General features: G+C 38.0%; 1 protein-coding gene and 1 long non-coding RNA gene across 5 annotated transcripts in view, besides 1 other annotated feature; one reads left to right on the plus strand and one right to left on the minus strand.

Moving 5' to 3' along the window:
- GNG12-AS1 (GNG12, DIRAS3 and WLS antisense RNA 1) overlaps positions 1-15,475 on the plus strand; it is a 370,700-nt gene extending 355,225 nt beyond the window's left edge. Inside the window, exon 10 of the long non-coding RNA NR_040077.1 lies at positions 14,457-15,475. This is a non-coding gene — a long non-coding RNA (GNG12, DIRAS3 and WLS antisense RNA 1). The remainder of the gene's footprint in view (positions 1-14,456) is intronic.
- The window catches only part of WLS (Wnt ligand secretion mediator), a 134,088-nt gene that overhangs the window by 89,054 nt on the left and 26,178 nt on the right, over positions 1-18,856 (minus strand). For 2 of the 4 annotated variants that reach the window (XM_011542191.3, NM_024911.7), the window contains exon 2: positions 6,443-6,715. The exons of 1 other annotated variant lie outside the window; for it this stretch is intronic. In XM_011542191.3, coding sequence (XP_011540493.1) covers positions 6,443-6,715 — 273 coding nt within the window. The remainder of the gene's footprint in view (positions 1-6,442; positions 6,716-18,856) is intronic. One more of the 4 variants, NM_001002292.4, reaches the window with a different exon arrangement.
- Positions 12,132-12,633: an enhancer, noted in NCBI's record as "NANOG hESC enhancer chr1:68665327-68665828 (GRCh37/hg19 assembly coordinates)". NCBI's record gives its function as "activates a minimal SCP1, AML or CMV promoter by ChIP-STARR-seq in naive H9 embryonic stem cells {active_cell/tissue: H9 hESC(naive)}" and the evidence as "EXISTENCE:reporter gene assay evidence [ECO:0000049][PMID:30033119]".

Raw genomic sequence — 18,856 nt, forward strand, 5'->3', positions numbered from 1 at the left:
TTAAAGCTTTGCCAACATGGGCATTTTTGTTGTTTAGGATTAGTATTTGCTGGGAAGTAATTCATCTGTGAAATTATTTAACATGTAGAATTATTTCTTAGTTTCTGGTTTGGGAGAAATGCTCAAGAGTTGAGCTTAAAATCATTTTATTCACACTGCTAAAGCTGAAAAATGTAAACAGGGAGCTTTCAATACATTTCAAATGAGTTTGGAGAATTCTAAAATATTCAATCCATTTATAATGAATACAAAACATCATTAGAAACTGGCAAAAAAAAAAGTAGCTAAAAGTATTCGAGTTATTTCACATTACTGGGAAAGTTTCTTTTAAAAAGTTCAGTTATAAATAACATTCACTAAACATATTTATCCTTTTTTCAATTTTGGTGGTATAATTTTAGAAATTTATCGTTGACTTTTAAAATTTCACCTAAACTTACCTGAGGCTCTGCATTATGTTACTCAATGATTCTGATGCCAAGTTTTGAAATCAAATTATAGGCCAGTCACCTTCAGTGATGTAAAAGGTAGAACCACAAGATAATCCAGCACTTTCCTCACAACCTGAAAACGGAACCTGTGGCAAGTACCTGCCCAAGTGTCAGACTATGCTCTAAACAACTGCCTGTCATGTAACAGGCTGCTCGAAAGCAGCAACATACTACTCCTATAGTCAATTCTTAACTTCTTAACCACAATTTCATCAGTGTAAAAAATATAGGAGCAGTGGGGACCAGACTTACATATACTGAAATGTTAAACAACAGAACTCTTATTTTGAAGTGTGGGAGGGGAGGAAGCACCTCAATCAGTTGCTTTATGTTCCTTTTAGTGGCAGAAGAATGATACAATCCAGTATTTTCATCCACAGCTCCCTAAACACAAAGCTGTGGATTTCATAAATGTAAATATACTGCGTAATCTGCCCACTGGGAGTTCATAGTTTAGTAAGGACTCAGAGAAGACAATTTCACTGTGCAGAACACAAGGCTGATAAAGTAAACATCACAAGGCCAGTAATGAAGAATGCGTAAGGAAAGACAGATTATATCCAGGAAGGAATGAGGACGGGAGATAATATAGAAAATACCTAGGAAGGCTCCAGGGGAATGTAAAATTTGGGATGTTGTGAAGAATGAGTAGGTTTATCTGGGAGGAGCCCTTCATTTGTGAGAAGAGGAATCACAAGAGAGGAAGAGGCAGGCAGGATCAATATCAGCGAAGACGCAAAGGGAGAAACTCTCTGGATGTGTTTACAGGGCAGGAAACTACTCCTTTTGAGGATGCAGAGAATGGTTACTGGCCAGCAGTGAGGAAGGAGGCTAGAAAGAAGCCTTGAGCCAGGAAGCGAGAGGACTCTGAACACCGAGTCTTATTTGTTAGTCACTGAAGATGTTTTGAGCAAGGAAATGATAAATTAAAGCTAAAAGAGTCTCCTCCTTATCAGAGGTTTCACCTTCAGTGGTTTCAGTTAGCAGAGGTCAATCACAGTGTAAAAATATTAGATGAAAAATTCCAGAAATAATTCTTAAGTTATAAATTGTGCACTGTTCTGAGTAGCATCATGAAATCTTGTGCTGTCCCCTGATAAGAATCACCCCTCTGTCCAGCATCTCCCTGCTCCTGCCTGTTAGTCACTTAGCAGCCATCTAGGTTACTAGATCAACTGCTATGTATTACAGTACTTGTGTGCAAGTCATCCTTATTTTCTCTCATTGCCCCAAGGTGCAAGAGTAGGGATGCTGGCATTTCAGATGTGCTAAAGAGATAAGTCAAGTGCTTCCTTTAAGAAGATGAAAGTTCTCAACTTAAAAGAAAAAAAAATCTTATGCTGAGGTTGCTAAGATCTACAATAAGAATGAATCTTCTGTCCTTAAAATTGTGAACAGTATATTTTTTCTTTCATTATTAATTATTGTTGTTATCTTTTACTGCACCTAATTTATAATTTAAACTTTATTCTAAGTATGTATATATGTATAGGAAGACACATCATGTATGTATATAGGGTTCAGTACCGTGATTTTAGGCACTGGGTGGTCTTAGAACATATCCCCTGTGGATAAGGAAGACTTACCTCTACCACGTGCTTCTTTTATAAAGACTAATCTCACTAACCAAGGTGTAGAAGTAAGAATTGGAAAAATGGCTGAATTTCAGCAATAAGGATAAATATAATTGGATAATTGTAATAGCTACTTTTAATTTTTAACTGTTTTAATAGTACTTACTATGTCCAGGCTGGGTGCAGTGGCTCACACCTGTAATCCCAGCACTTTGGGAGGCCGAGGTGGGTGGATCACCTAAGGTCAGGAGTTCGAGACCAGTCTGGCCAACATGGCGAAACCCCGTCTCTACTAAAAATACAAAAATTTAGTCCCAGCTACTCAGGAGGCTGAGGCAGGAGAATCTCTTGAACCCAGGAGGCAGAGATTGCCGTGAACCAAGATCATGCCACCGTACTCCAGCCTGGGTGACAGAGCGAGACTCCGTCTCAAAAAAAATAAATAAAAAATAAGTACTTACTATGTCCTAAAAGTTTTACATAAACTAATTTATTCCTTAGAGTGAGTTGGTTAATTAGGCATTATTATCCATATTTTACAAGGGAGGAAACTGGCTAAGAGCGGTTCTGTAACTTCCCCAATACTGCAGAGCTTTTAAAAAGTGGCACAAGGATTTAAACCCATTGCTGTAGGACTCCTAAGTCCATGCTCTTAAAAAACTTTCTATCTTACCCCCTAATCTAGATATAAATCAGGGATCACATTTCAAATGAAACTGTGACTCCATTGAAAAGTATGCCAGCAGGTAGTCAGCCTCTAAGATGGTCCTTAATGATCCCCATCTCCTGGCATTCATGCTCTTCTGTAATCACCTCCCTTGAGTGTGGGTTGAACTTACTAGTTCACTTCTAACCAACAGAATACAGCAGAAGTGATGGAATGTCGTTTGCAAGATTCAGCGGTTTCCCTCTCCAGCACTGCTCAGGCTCTCTCTTGGCTCACTATCCCTGGGGGAAGCCCGCTGCCATGTTGCGAGGCAGTCTTATGGAGAGACCCATGTGGGAGGGATGGAAGCCTGCCAACAACCATGTGAGAGAGCTTGGAAGCAGATCCCCCTTCCCCGGTGGAGCCCTCATGCCTGATGAGACTGCAGACCAGGCCAACAGCTTAATTGCAACCTTGAGAGAGTTTGAGCCAGAGACTCCCAAACTAGATTCTTGACCCACAGAAATGAGGAGCTAAGAAATGTTTATAGGTGGCCAGGCACGGTGGCTCACGCCTGTAATCCCAGCACTTTGGGAGGCCGAAGTGAGTGGATCACCTGAGGTCGGGAGTTCTAGACCATCCTGGCCAACATGGAGAAACCCCGTCTCTACTAAAAATACAAAAATTAGCCAGGCGTGGTGGCACATGCCTATAATCCCAGCTACTCGGGAGGCTGAGGCAGGAGAATCTCTTGATCACGGGAGGTGGAGGTTGTGGTGAGCCAAGATCGTACCATTGCACTCCAGCCTGGGCAACAAGGGTGAAACTCAGACTCAAAAAAAAAAAAAAAAAATGTTTATAGTTGAAAGCTCCTAACTTTTAGGGTAATTTGTTACCCAGCATTATTAATACAGTCAGTAGACAGTAATTATTTATTATTACAGGGTAAATCTTTTTCTTTATACTTGGAGCTAGAAGTAGGGATCTGTCTAGGAGAGATTATACCTGAAATAACCACAACCAGCCCAAATAACAGAATACCACGTCCTTTACCTTTCCACCCAAACATACATAAATCAGGTAATCTACCTATCTCATCCTCCCATGGCTCTTCTTGTTGTCCTTATTCTCCTTTGCTTGAATGCATTCTTAGGAATAGAAATGCTAAAACCCAAACCTGCAGGTTTCAAAAAAAAATTTTTAGACATACAGTTTTGAATCTCATAGCAAACTCTTTCCTTCCCAAGGCTCCTCACATTACATTGTGTATTCTTATTATAGCACATAACATGTTTTTTCTTATTTGTAGGTTTAAGTGTCTGTTTTCCAGGCACCCTCTTCCCTAACCCGTTACAAGAATCATGTCTCGTGTGATCTTATATCCCCAGTACTGAGTGTTCGTATGGCTGGGACTTAATAAAGTTTAAATGAACTCATGAATAAATGTGTTGCACAACCAATGAGTGAGTGAGTGAACAAGTGAGTCAATAAGCAAGAGTTTAGGGACATGGGAACCACCACTTAAAAGCTTGAGGCTGTTGTGCAAATTTGGACCTTCATATAAGCCATTTCCTTCTATATAGAATGCTCTTTCTTTTGCTCATCCTCACCTCCTCACCAGGCTTTTCTCTCTTTAACATTCACCTCAAAGAGCTGTCTGATTGCCTCTCTACAACTCTCCCCGCCAACACACACCCACACACCCTACCAGGGAAGTCTTCCTTTTCTCTGCTGTGAAGCCTTTTCTTTAAGTTTCCATATCCTCCTGGGCATAACTTGGTCACAGCACCCAGCATACCACACTGTAATGATTAGTTATTTGCCTGTCATTTCCACTTAGCCGTAAGTTCCTTAAAGGACAGCATATTCAGCTAACAGCAGAATGCCTAGCAGTGGTAGGCACTCAAAAACAGTTTAAAATAATGGGCAAGAGAATGAATGAATGAGAAAAAGAAAACTGTATCTAGAAAATTATCTCAGCACAATCTATTTATTTCAGGTAAGCTATCAGTCAGGTATACATAGTGCTCCAACTCCTAAACAGAGTAAAAATAATTGTACATCAAGATTATTACAGATACATGAAAATCATATTTAGAAATAGTACTTCAGATCAGGCATGGTGGCTCACAGCTGTAAACCAAAAATTTGGGGAGGCTAAAGTGGGAAGATTGCTTGAGCTCAGGAGAGACCCCCATAAAATTTTAAAATTTAAGGCCAGGTGCAGTGGCTCATGCCAGCTACTCAAGAGGCTGAGGTGGGAAGATCGCTTGAGCCTGGGAGGTTGAGGCTGCAGTGAGCTGTGATGACACCACTGCACTCCAGCCCAGGCAAAAGAGAAAGAACCTGTCACACACACAAAAAAAAAAGAATAAAAAATTACAAAATTAGCGTGCCTGTAGTCCTAGCTATTCATGAGGCTGAGGTGGGAGGATAGCTTGAACCCAGGAGTTCGAGGATGCAGTGAGCTATGATTATGCTACTGAACTCCAGCCTGGGCCAGCATTCGAGATCAGCCTGGGGAACATAGGAGACTCTGTCTCTTAAAAAAAAAAAAAAAAAAACAGAAGAAGAAAGAAATAGTTTTCAGGCCAGGCACAGTGGCTCACACCTGTAATCCCAGCACTTTGGGAGGCCAAGGTGGGTGGATCACCTGAGATCAGGAGTTCAAGAGCAGCCTGGCCAACATGGTAAAACCCCATCTCCACTAAAAATACAAAAAAAAAAAAAAAAAATTTTGCTGGGCGTGGTGGTGGGTGCCTGTAATCCCAGCTACGTGGGAGGCTGAGGCAGGAGAATCACTTGAACGCGGGAGGCGGAGATTGCAGTAAGCCGAGATTGAGCCACTGCACTCCAGCCTGGGCAACAAGAGCGAAACTCTGTTTCAAAAAAAAAAGAAAAGAAAAGAAAAGAAAAAGAAATAATGTTTCAATCTATGGACAGGCCCTAGACAGAGCTGCCTTTAACACATCTTTTTCCCTTTCCCTCACATCCTTGATCCCATCTCAGTCAAAAAGGAAAAAACAAAAAGTTTTCTTACTTCTCAGCCTAAGATTCCTGATACTGTCCCCAGATGCCATACATGTATTGGCCTCCCAGAAATCACCCAGTGATTTTCTCCCCATGAAAAGTTTATATGTCTCATGCCCTCAGAGTTTTTAACTGCAAATAAGCTAAAAAAAAAAAAAAAAAAAAAAAAAAAAAAAAAAAAAAAAAAAACGAAAAAAAAACCTGGTTTGGTGGGGAAATGGGTGCTCATGGGTTGGCATTTCCATTTTGGTAGGCATCTTTTTCTAAGGCCATAGCTTTACTCAAAGCCCAGTGGAAAAAGACATTTAAAAAAAAATAAAAACCTTTCAGGAACCCTCAAGTCACTCCATTGGGGTGAACTCCCCTGTGACACTAGAGAGGTGGTGAAGCTTGGTGGTTAGGGCAGTTTTCTGAGTCAGAAATCTCAGCTTTTCCACTCTCTAGTCTTCAGATCATGAGTAACCTCACTGGTGCCCAAGTGTTCCATCTGTAAAATGAAATAATAAGACTACCTCAAGGAACCTGGTGGGAAGATTAAATGGGTTAATACAGGTAAAGTACACAGAAAGTGCCTGGGAAGTAGTCAATAATTGTTTGCTATTACTATTACCATTTTTACTTTTATTAGAATTGGCTCAAAAAGAACCCAAAGAGGGCAATGCTCAAAGGGAAGAAAGGGATGAGAGGAGAGTACACTTAACTGATTTGGTTGTTTAGCTTGAAGGCAATGTCCAGCTGCAGGATAAACAGCATGAATTGGAACCAAGGACTCATCTCCATGTGGGGGAGGGGAATGTGAACAGAAAACACGATGTCATTGGCTTCAATTTCCCTTGGAATTGCCTCTTCAATGTCTCGGATCTTGTCACAATGATTGGGTCCCCAAGGCACGAACCATTTTGTCTTGTGATGGTTCTTACGGGCATCCACACATTTCACCGACATGTAGGACACTGCCGTTGTGGGCCCTGGAGCTGAAAAGAGAAAGTTTGTCTGTTTTAGAAAAGCCATCTATTGAAACTACTGTTTCTGGTTAATATTCTTTCCACTGCTGTGTTCCCTCCAGCTTTTGTATCGCCTTCTACAAGTGGGGCTCAGCAATACTTAGGGATCTTCCAAATCTGGGTGAGGATCTTTCACTGACCTCCAGAGGTGTCATAACAGTATCTCTGAGAACCTTCCCATTATGTTTTCAATTGCTGTGAAAGAATACATTTGTAACCAGTCTAGTTATACTTCCCCACTTCAAAACAATGTCACAAAAAATCAACTGTGCTACAGTTCCCACCTGATTGAGGTCTTGGAGAGCTCTGGTGCTTCATAGAGAACAGTATCTAAAGTCAGAAGACCTTAGTCTTCAAACCTGGATTCGAAGCCTGGTTAAAAACCTACTGTCAGTGAATCTTGGGTAAGTCAGTTAAATCTGTAATAGCTTCAGGACCCTCATCTGAGAAACGGAAGAGTTTCTAAGATTCCTTTTGGCTCTAAAATTGTACAACATTGCTTTTGCTTAAGATAAAGAACTAGGGGACACCAGTTAGCTTGGTACCTAGCAGAGAATGGGAACTCAAACACTGACTGATACTTCAAAAGTGTACTAAAATATAAACGATGCACTTCAAGACAGCAAAGCAACTTTGAAATGTGTAACTTTAAAAACACTATTTTGTGATTATATAATGGTTATATGATTATAATATTAATAACTTGGAAAATACAGAAATTTTAAGTTCAAAACAACATTTACCCAAAATCCCACTAGAGGGAAGTAACCACTGTTGGAAAATGTCAAAATGCCATCTGTCTTTTCTATGACTGTGTAATTAGATAAAAAGTTTACACATGAATTAAATTGTGTAACTTTAAAATATACGCAAATATTAACACATATTTATAAAATAGTTATATCATGCATAGTTTTGTAGTCTTTTCTTTTTATTCACTTAGAAAAGCAGAGTATTGTGTGATAACACCAGCTCTGGAGGCGACCTGTCTGGTGTCAAATCCTGGCTCTCTCATTTTTAGTTGTGTCACCACAAATCCACACTAGGAAAGTTTTGGGCAAATTACTAAGCCTATCTCTGTATCGGTTTTATCATCTCTTAGATGGCAATAATAATAGTACTGATCTTTCCAAGTCACTGCATATTTTAAACAAGTTAACATATGAAAGCACTCAGAGTAGTGCTTGGGCACACACAAAGTATAAAATATTAGCCATTATATCATATTTTCTTTATAATTAAAATCTTTCAGTTAGTAGTTGCAAAATAGTCAATCACACAATACACCAAAATCAACTTCTCCTTCATCAGTTTGTAAAGGCTATCTATAAGAATAATCCTTTGCCTAATATGTTTTGTTGGAAATTTCTCCTAAACTTTCCATCTGCTATCTAAATTTGTTTATGCACATTTAAATAGAGAAGTTCCAGATCTTATATGGAATCCCTCTTTTATGTTTTTCCCCCCATGCTTTTGTGTTTAGAGAAACTGACCTTCTTCATCTCAAAATTCAATAGTCATCTATATTGACTTCTATTTATTTTTTGCAATTTCATTTTTTCTAATATTTAAACAGTTGATCCATCTGAAAATTGCTATAAGAGATGCAGTGAGGTTCTAGTTTTATTTCTTAAATATTTAAATTATAGTTGATTGAACAGACCCTCCCTTTTGTTGATTTATCATATCACTGTTAATCTTTATGTATGTAAGCATGTTTCTGAACATCTGTTCTTTTCCATGCATTAAACTGTCAATTCACGGGTCAGCACAACATTGCTTTGAATTTTATAAATTTATTATTTTTATCAATATCTGCTAGAGTAACTCTCTTCCCCAATCCATTTCAAATTTACATCTTTTTGCTAGGATATTGAAGATTAAATTAAATTTATAAATAATAAATATATAATAATAAATTAATGTGGACAGAATTAGCATCCTTCCCCAGCGTTTAGTTTTCCCATCCAAGAACAGTACTTGTTTCTCCATTGTCTACAATCTGTTTTTAAATTTCTTGGAAAACTTTCATTGTTTTCTTTATGTGGGTCCTACTAGTATATTTTAAAATAGATACATCTATAAACCTTTGAAAGTTAGTAGTTAAAAGAAAGTGTCATCAATTATGGTTTATGTGTGTGGTTTAAATATGTGTATTTCTGTGCATCTGATACTTGGTATATTATGTTTGCAGAAATTCTCTCTTATTTAATAGAGATCAGATAGCAATGGAGAAACATGAAAAGCAAAAAGAAAGTTATATAACGGGAAAAATGTGTATTATTAATATTCTGCCCTACTTCTAATGTTCGAATCCACATTATTTTTCTATTCTATTAAACATCTATTTTAATGATACATTTTTAGTAAAATGTTATGTTTGTAAGAAGTTAGGACAATGCCTATTAATACTTACCAGAAAACTCAACACTACTAAGCTCTAGCTGAACATCCTTCATGTAGAAGGCTGAACACTGCAATACAAGTTGCCACTAACCCCTGCTACAGACGTTTTTCTTTAAAACTCAAAACTGTATCACGAAGACCTCACATCTAATCCATCTAAAATCAGACATCTGACTTATTCTTAGAAATATGAGTCAATCAAACTTTGGTTATCCTGACTCAGCTAAATAGCCCACTGACATTAGAAAAGCCAAATGGCACATTTAACTGAACCCTTTTTAATGTGGTTGGAGAAATAAACAGTGAGACAAAAGTCATGAATTCTATTTTCGGCTAACATACTCAAACTGACTATTTGCTGCAGAAAATAGTTACTACATTTTAAAACTTCTATTCTTCCAAAATGAACCTAACCTTTTTTTCTTTATTTTTTACCTTCTTGAAAAACAAGTCTCTCACTTCTCAGGCCAAAACGAAAAATAACTAGCTGAGTTCCTCAGCTAAGCTCCAAAACCACATTCCAAACTTAATAACAGAGAAGCTGAACACTTTATGGTCACAAAGTCCGCATTTTTAATGAATGCAGTGAACGCCTGCCTTTTTAGGGGCCTGCATTATTTTCATCCTCTCATTAGTCTAGTGTTTCTTCTATAAAGAAAAAAAATCCCAGAAATACTAATATTTTCATAAATATCATGGCAGTGAACTTGGAGAAGCCTCAAGTGCATCTCAAGCTATACTGTGAGAATCACAATTTTTTTCACTTGAATAAATTAGTCCTTGAGTCTCAAAAATGCTTTCCATAACTTCAAAACCTGAAGATAATTCAACATTTTCCGTTTTTCTAATAGTGTTCAAAAGAGAAAACACAAGTATTGCTTGAGAAAGTAAACAGACATCCTGATATTCAAACATGGACAGTTAATGTTCCCCCAATAATATATTTACAGCTCAGTGCAATGTCCTACTCCAGCTAAAAGTGAATTCCCAAGTGTTTCTTTATATAGACAGCATTATCACGTAAACCAAAAGCAAAGCTTACAGCTGGTAGCTGGTCACCTACCATAGAATGTGTTTTCATTAGCTATAGTCAAAATTTTAGCTACATGGGTCACAAATTGTGTCTAGAATCAAAAAAAGTTTGATCTGTCTGTAAATTTTTTTAAAGTGTGTGGGATTAAGAGAAAAGAGCTAAATGGAGGAAGTTTAAATCATCTTCAACCTTTGAACAAGCCACAATAACAGGTATTTGTAATGAAGGCCTTACTTAGTCACTTGCGTGGTTCTAGGGATTAATAGAGTTTGTGTATTCAAGAGGGGGCTGGATAGATTCAGGTCAACAAACTGAGTCATGTTTGCTCAGGTGAAAGCTAAAAATAACCACTCCCCAGTATTCCTAGGAGAGTAATGCAATATTACCCAGCTGCCTCAGCACACATTATAAATGTCTCCTCCACCCACCCATAGTATAAGGTTTAACTGAAAACAAGTAGGCCAAAAACTACTTCTACACCAGACCAATTCAATGACAGAATAATTTGGCCAAAACTAAATATGCCTAGTCACTGTAAACTGGTTAACTCATGGTTGGTTAAGATAGCCTTGGGAATATGCACAGAAGTTATAAAACCATGAGCTATTCATTGAAAATGCAGTCCATTATGAATTCAGTTCTTTTTACTTTATCAAACATGACCATTTTATTTTGTCTGTATTTCAATACAGTATTTTTGGCCTCCACTTTTCCACTACAGCACATGAATTGTGAAATGTGATTCTATATAACATTTAATGTTAAAGTGATATGAAATCAATAAGACTTCTAACAAATTCAAGGTGTGAAGAAATGTACAAACACAACCTGAAGTCTCTATGAAAATTCAGTGGTCCCTCAGTTACACACATTACTATGGCTCACAGTATATTGTCCAAATTTGTCTTGAGTATCTACCATGCACTAGACACTGCCGGTTCTGGAGTAAACCTGATAGGCACCAACCATATGGAACGTACAAATAACGGAGGAAGCAGACAATAAATAAACAATTTCAGGAAAAAATAATTTTGATGAATGTTATATGTAACCTGACATTCCCTGAGAAAGGGCAACAGTCAGATATTTGGGAGGTGGGAGAAATGAATACACCAGAATGACAGAAAAATCCAGTCATCGTTACAACATAACCTTGAATAAAAATGTAAGTGAACAATGACTAAACCTGTAGTACTTCTTTTGGAAGAATATTCATTGACTCCAGTCAGCTTCCTGTTATTTCACTTCAAATGGCTATCCAGTTTACAAATTACTATCTAGCCAACCGCTAGCATTTATCATGCTTAAAATTGAGTCAACATTAAATCATTAGCCCCTATTCCTTCCAGAACCTGTAATTTAAGAGTTAGAGAGAGACAAGACTTGGTTGCCTCTTAGAAAAGTTAAAATAAAACTAAAACAACAGGCTGACATGACACATTGTCTCCATTTAAGCCAACATAGACTATTTATTTCTTTGCTTTATTATGAGTAATGAACATTTCTTTAGCAATCACCTAGGAGCATTACTATTATGCAGGTACCGTACTAACTAAAGACAGAGACGAATGGCCTCCCAGACCCCCATTTGCTCACAGGCTAGTGTGGGAGGCTGAGAAGTTCACAAAGAATTACACCCTGATTGGAAATTTCTTTGACAGAGGTTTGCACAGGATGCTCCAGTTGTAAAAAGAGCTGAGGGTAGCTTTCGGCAGGGCTTAGCCTTGGAAGAGAGCAGGTAATAGCCAAGGGAGAATGGGGGATGGCCAAGGAGGGAAGGTGCTGAGGTAGAGATAGAACATGTGCTGGGTCATAGAATATCTAAAACAATCATATTTTCTGCAGATATCTGTGCTTGAATATTAAAAATTAAAAAGAGATCATTTAACGGTGAAAACTGTAGTACTACTCTTATCTCTGTGTCCACCCTTGCCTTTTCTAATCAGTGGTATAATTCTACTAGAGTGCCTTGGCCTCTGCTCCCAATCATCCCTGCTGTACTCTATAGAGCACCATAAAGAAGGAATAATAAACAGAGCCACACATAACAAAGAACTTTTATTTGGCAGGAATGTTTCCTTTTATGACACCTATCTCTGCCCTGTAAGTAGCCACAAGGCCAGACCAGAGATCTGCTGGAAGGAGGCGGAGTGAGAGGGTAGTCAGGTGGGAATGAAGAAGCTCCCCGTCCTATTCCCACAAATGGCCCCAAAGAGCCTTTGAAGTCTCAGTCATCAGGTAATAATAGCCTTCCTCTAAATTAGAGGAAGAATGTCTGCCTTGCAACAAAGATGATATTTAAAGAATAATCTGCTTTGGGGTACAAGGGGAAGGAATGCAGAGAATAGACCAGTTGAAAAGGTAATTCCTGTTTATAAGAATTAATAATCAGAACAGCACCATTTTAAAAAGTAATGACTTAAAGTAAAAATGGTCAAAGATTTCAGAAATGTTTTAGAGAATTTTATGTTTACAATAGAATTTATCTAACAAAAATGATAGGAACAATACACATTGATTTAAAAACATACAAAAAGTTGGTAGCAGATACTTTCTCCTACTGACTTGAGACATTGATTTAACACCTGAAAACTAATCTCAGTTAAAAAGCTGCCAGCACCATCTCTCCACCTGTAAAAATGTGAATATTTATTTATATTTTATAATTTCATTTTATTTATTCTCTATCTTGTTCCATAAAACATTTTGGGGTACTAGAACTGGTTATTAGCCTTTATTTTTTAAAAATAATTGGGACTGATTTCAACGGATAGAATTAATGTTGGGGCGGGGGTGGGCAGAGACTACAAATTACTTGGTCTATGTCTATATCTTCAAAAGTTTGGGGAGCTTATATTCTCCAGCTATTGCTTTTTTTTTTTTTTTCCAGCTATTGCTTTTGAAACAACAGCTGGGAAATATAAGCTCCTCAAACTTTTGAAGCAATAGCTGAAGAATGAATATAAGCTCCCAAAACTTTTACCTGATCTATGAAGTTGAATGGCTCAATATCCATTTTACTTTGAAATGTAGAGAAAACCTCCATTGCACTATGAATGGTATTTATAAGAACTAAAAGGCATATGCCCAAGTTGGTTCTAAGCTCTGCCTATCTAAATATCTCTGCTTGCCTTATGAGAACTTATATAAAACATATTGAGCACTTAAACCCTTGGGCAATTGCAGAGTGTGCTTTGGATTTTTTGAGTATCAAGGTGGGGAGGGTCGAAAAGAGGGAGAAAGGGAACACAGGTGTCAGAAAAGACTAGATGAATTCCTGTTATGTAACTACTTTTTCAAATGCCCCCAAAGTACTTATTTAACCTAAGAAAATCTTTAGCTAAGTTTAGAAATTAGCTTTAAATATGCTCAATTGATTTTCCTTAGACATTCCACATGCCTTTCGCCAGCTCAAAAGCCTTAATTCTGGTTAAAAGGAAACATGTGAAATATACTGCACAACTTCAGTGGCCAGATCATATTAACTGGCTGAGCTGTGAGGTCTTATGAGCCAAACCTGCTTACCATTCACTGAAAGTCAGTTCCTAAAAAGATTTCTTAATATCTGCCATACCACTTATCTAAGTTTTGGGTGGCTAATTAGAATGAGCTCTTCAAAAAGTTCAGCTAAAGAAAGTGCAAATATTTGCATTAAATTGACTTAGTACTTAAATGATTCAGTGTGTTAATTCTTTTACTGAAATTGCTCTGAAGTTATAGTAGACACTTATGCTTTCTCCACCACCTACTTTGAAGAGAAGATTCTCCTATATTTCAACCATACCCATTAAATCTTACTAGCTTACTAAATGAAGTATTATTTCACAATTCAATCTCAATTACTGGAGAGCTGAAAGTGTGTCTACAGAGACTAGACCAGAAGTGATTTTTACAATTATCAAAGCTATGCCCTTGTGCATGAAATGGGGTACGCTAAGTGAAATGAAATTCATTCTTGCCAGCCACTTTCAGTCAGTTAGTTATGCTAACATCTGTTCTAGGAAAGCTAATTTTTTTTAATACAGCAGAACATTCCTTTACACTGAACCACTACCACCAAAACACAAACATACATACTACATAGCAGAGTTGAATGCAAAATAATTTGTACCGTACACACAAAAGTCAAGCACTTATTTAAAAATAGTTCTTTACAATATAAACTTATGAAATTATGGACATTTTGACAGCAATTTTCCAAAAATTGTAGCAAACACTTGTAAATACATTCCGACTCAAAAATATTGAAAATATCATATGTTTACATTTTAGGCAGATGAGGATTTTAAATGCTTCGCCTACAACCTCAATTGTTGTGGAGCCAAAGATGCAACAGCTTTGAAGAATAGAAGAATTACTCTATATTTGTCAGGATCTACGTGGCAAACAAGCGCCACTTGGCTTACATTACTTGCCTGGCTTGGATCCCATGGAATGGAGGAGCATTGGAACCAAGAGGAAAAAAATTAAAGTGCTTTGGGACAGCGAGCCAAACTCTTACATAGTATTTGAAATGGTGTGGCAAACATGAAATTATTTTAGGCTCAAGATTGGTGCTAGTTTTTTACCCTCTTTTTGAAAAAATAGTAAAATGCACATAAAGGGCCCTGCCAGAGGTTTAGCTCATAAAATCTGCCAATCATTGGATGTGCTAATTGGTGTAGCAATCCAGTGGTGGCCTGGATTAGGACTCAAAAACTGACCCTTACCACCCTTGGTGTCCTGCAGCAAAGACAGCCTAAATCGAAAAGACTGATGGAAGTATATCAAATTACGAATTTCTCTATCCCTGAAAAATGCCTGCAATTTCTGTTTCTCCATCACTCCAGAAATACTCAAAACAGCAAAAATTAAATACATATGAAGTGAACACAAAAGACCTCCACAGAAAAATCAGTGGCTCATCTGTTGACGCTATTGCTCATTGCTCGGCTGGCCAGTCATCTGGGCTAAGTTTTGACTTTGGGCCAGTGCTTCAAAATCAGCAACCTTTCAGCCAAAAGACTGTGGAATGCAGCCAAGACCACCTGTGGAAAGTGAATTATAGCATCTTTAATTTACTACCTTGGGCTATGATGTCAGAAACCCAGCATGGAGGGCGCACCAGTTCTTGTGTGGGAAATCTCTCAGAGCCCCCATGGAGGCCCCCAAAGTGGCTCTGGCAAAGCTGTAGGGGTGGAGGTAACAAAAAAGGGGACACCTGGCTCTCCTTCTTAAATCAGCTCACCATGGGCACACATTTATATTGGAATTTTAGGGTCAGAAAATACCAAAATTAAATCTTCTAGAAGAAACACAGTCAGTGGCTTTGCTCTAAAGTGCCTATTACACTCTACAAGTTTCCAACATTTGTTATTTAAAATAATCAGACATTTATTATTCATAAATTACATATATTCTTTTATCAATATTATTGTTAATAATAAACATGAACAACTAGTAAGTGAATTGCAAAGAACTTTCACATACATAGATTATCGAATCCACCTAGTTAACAAGTAACATAATTAGCACCATTGCATATTCAGAAGATCAGTGGTTTTTGTCTCATCAGTAAATAGAGTTAGGACTGGAACCCAGGTCTGATTTCATATCTAATGCTCCTTTCCAATACAACTATCTGTTTATTTATTAACGGTTACTATTTATTAGCACTCTCAGATTACCTGAGATAGTTGCAGAGCTGAGGGATGAATGAAGACGACTGTGGCCATAAGTAGCTTGCTGAAGCTCCACAGGCAAGGCACTACCAGCACTGGGCTGGGTGTCACTCAAAGGGAGCCAGCAAGATAGCTTTTCTGGGAGACTTACAGTCAGGGACAGAGTACCTCTAAGACTTCCATAAAGAAATGATGGAGTAATAGGCTCATGAAAATGCACTAAACTCCCTTGAATCTGATACCCTCCCAGTTTTTACCGGGTCTTGGTTATGACTTCATATTGCAGGTAGGCAGTGTTTAGGATGTTAGCCTAGAGAAGATCTGACTCAGGAACACAGCGCTGCCATGGAAGTCTATGACAGCACTTGCAGGCATAGTGAGAGACAGGAATTCAAGTTAGAGAAAATCTGACTCCAGAGCAACCTATGGAAGAATTACTTATAATTCAGGTAGGCAAACAATGGCACAGTTTGACTCAGGAAAGGGTGGGTTCCTCAACCATGGAAACATTTGGGAAGTAAATGGATAGATAAGAGCAAGAGCCTGAACTAAATATAAGTTCCTCTCAGTCACACCAAAATAAGTCTCCTATCCATGCATATGGTATGTCAGGGAATGGAGAAATTAAGGTCCAACAAAGAGCTGCATATAGTTTATTGATTTGTTTTCTATTTTCTGACCAGTTCCAGATAAACAGATAAAAGCAATTAAAGTACAGGGCATTCTGAATGGTCAAAAATTTAGTATTGTACATTGTAAGTTAAGGCTAAGGGCAAGTAAGACCTGTTAATGTCTTTATCTGGAATTTCACAAATGCCAAGAATAATCATATTTCCTTCCTTGATTGATTATTCAAAGAAAACACAGGCCCTTATAATTTGCAAATTTCCTAGAATTGAGGGTAGAGGTACATTTTAAGGGTAACTTGCAGTTTTAACATTCACATTCTTAGGAATTATTATTATTATTAATTTTTTTTTTTAGACGGAGTCTCGCTCTGTCGTCCAGGCTGGAGTGCAGTGGCGCGGTCTCGGCTCACTGCAAGCTCCGCCTCCCGGGTTCACGCCATTGTCCTGCCTCAGCCTCCAGAGTAGCTGGGACCACAGGCGCCCGGCTAATTTTTTGTATTTTTAGTAGAGACGGGGCTTCACCGTATTAGCCAGGATGGTCTCCATCTCCTGACCTGGTGATCCGCCCGCCTGGGCCTCCCAAAGTGCTGGGATTACAGGCTTGAGCCACCGCGCCCGGCCGGAAATATTTTTTTAAAAAACATTGAAATCACAAAATTAAATAGTCTATGCAATTATTTAGTATTTTAAATTTCATCAGTTTTAGGTTCTAGCTCAAGGGCCGTCTCTCCTTCATTCAATTTGTTAAATGCCTATAGTGTGCCAGCTGGAGGCCTCCTCTGATTTTCCTTCAGTTGACAAAAGATCCTTACTTCCTTTGGTGCCAGTATCACCTGGTCTATGTCTTTATTATAGCATTCTACTTTATTTGCAGGCATCACTTCTGAACCCTACAAAATTATAAGCTCCTAAGGGGAAGGACTACATCTTATTCTGCCTTGTGCCACTAAGCACAGAAACTTAAACATGCAAGTCCTCCAGACCTGAACTGAACTATTTATTATATGGCTTTTGTGTCATAATAAACATATTAATGTAAGTTATGCTCAATGTAACTAACAAAATTTTATCAAATGCCTACTAAGCATCATTTTTTAAATGCCATAGTGGATTAATCCTTGTCCCGCCTGTATCAAAGTACACTTAGACTGGCACTCAGTGACAGTTTGGGAAGAAGCCAGAGCTGCCTTCCGTGAGGTCAGTCTCCCAAGGTCACACATGTGCTCATCAGAGACTCACTTCCTACAAATACTTATGACGGTTCTTCCAGATCCGTGTCAAGCAATATATTAAATGAAATACTGAATTTTGAAGATCAAAATGAACTTTTCCTAAACTATAACCCAATCCACACAAGTAATTTACACATCAAAAGAAATTAGATAGTAGGCAAACAAAACAATGGTAATTTTTTTAAAAAAAACTGCTCCCAAAGGGTTTGTGGCCAACATTAATATTGCAGGAACATGTTTAGATAACTGCTGTTCAGCATAGTTCCTGGAAACAGGTTCTCAAAGCCAGGACTTACAGTTATTTACCTTCTTCCAGCACTGCCCTGAGGGTTTTAAGGCCTAAATGAATAGAAAGCAAATGGGGGACAAAATGAAATAAAATGTTCACATCTCAGCCTTTAGTGTATATAACTAATGTTTGAAGATTTTATGACAAAATGTGTCTTCTTAAGAACACATGTAGGGAAGATTTTGGCCATTTCTTTAACACCCTTTAAACAGTACCTACCAGAGAAAAAGCAAACACTCCCTTCTAAAAGCATCAATATTCTACTTCTGAGATCAAAACTACAAAACAGGCTCAGACAGAAACCTGGGCAAAGGAACCTTCTGCTGCACGTATGTACTATTTCCCAGAGATGTAAATGATTTTTTTCTCTCTGCCCCAGTGAATCACATATGAAAGTTCTCAAAGAATTAGTAAAGAAAAATGGTGAAAATCTTCTTGGTGTTGAAGGAACAGTGGAGTGTAGCTGGTATCAGAAGTTCTGAAGTGACTCAGAGATTCAGAAGGGTGACAGGCAGGGGCAGTTTTTACTAGAGGAAAGAGCGATGTAGGATGAACAATTTACTGTCCCTGTTGATTCACATAGGATGTAAGTACAAGAGAAGTCAAGGATGTCCCCAAATTTCTTGCATAGGCAGCAGATGAGTGATGTCATTCACTAAGACAGGAATCAAAGAAAAATGAATGACATGTCATATCACACGTAGAATTTGTAGAAGCTGGAGATGTATAGCTTGTTTAAAAGGGGGGTTTAGTATGGAGGGTTGAAGATAAAAGGTCAAATATGTGAATGACTAAATGTGGAGGAGGAATTAGATTTACCCTGAGTGGTTCCAATCTTGCAAGTTCTCAGGAAGGAAATCTG

The sequence above is a fragment of the Homo sapiens genome, chromosome 1, assembly GCF_000001405.40.
Source record: "Homo sapiens chromosome 1, GRCh38.p14 Primary Assembly".
NCBI classification, from domain to species: Eukaryota; Metazoa; Chordata; class Mammalia; order Primates; family Hominidae; genus Homo; species Homo sapiens.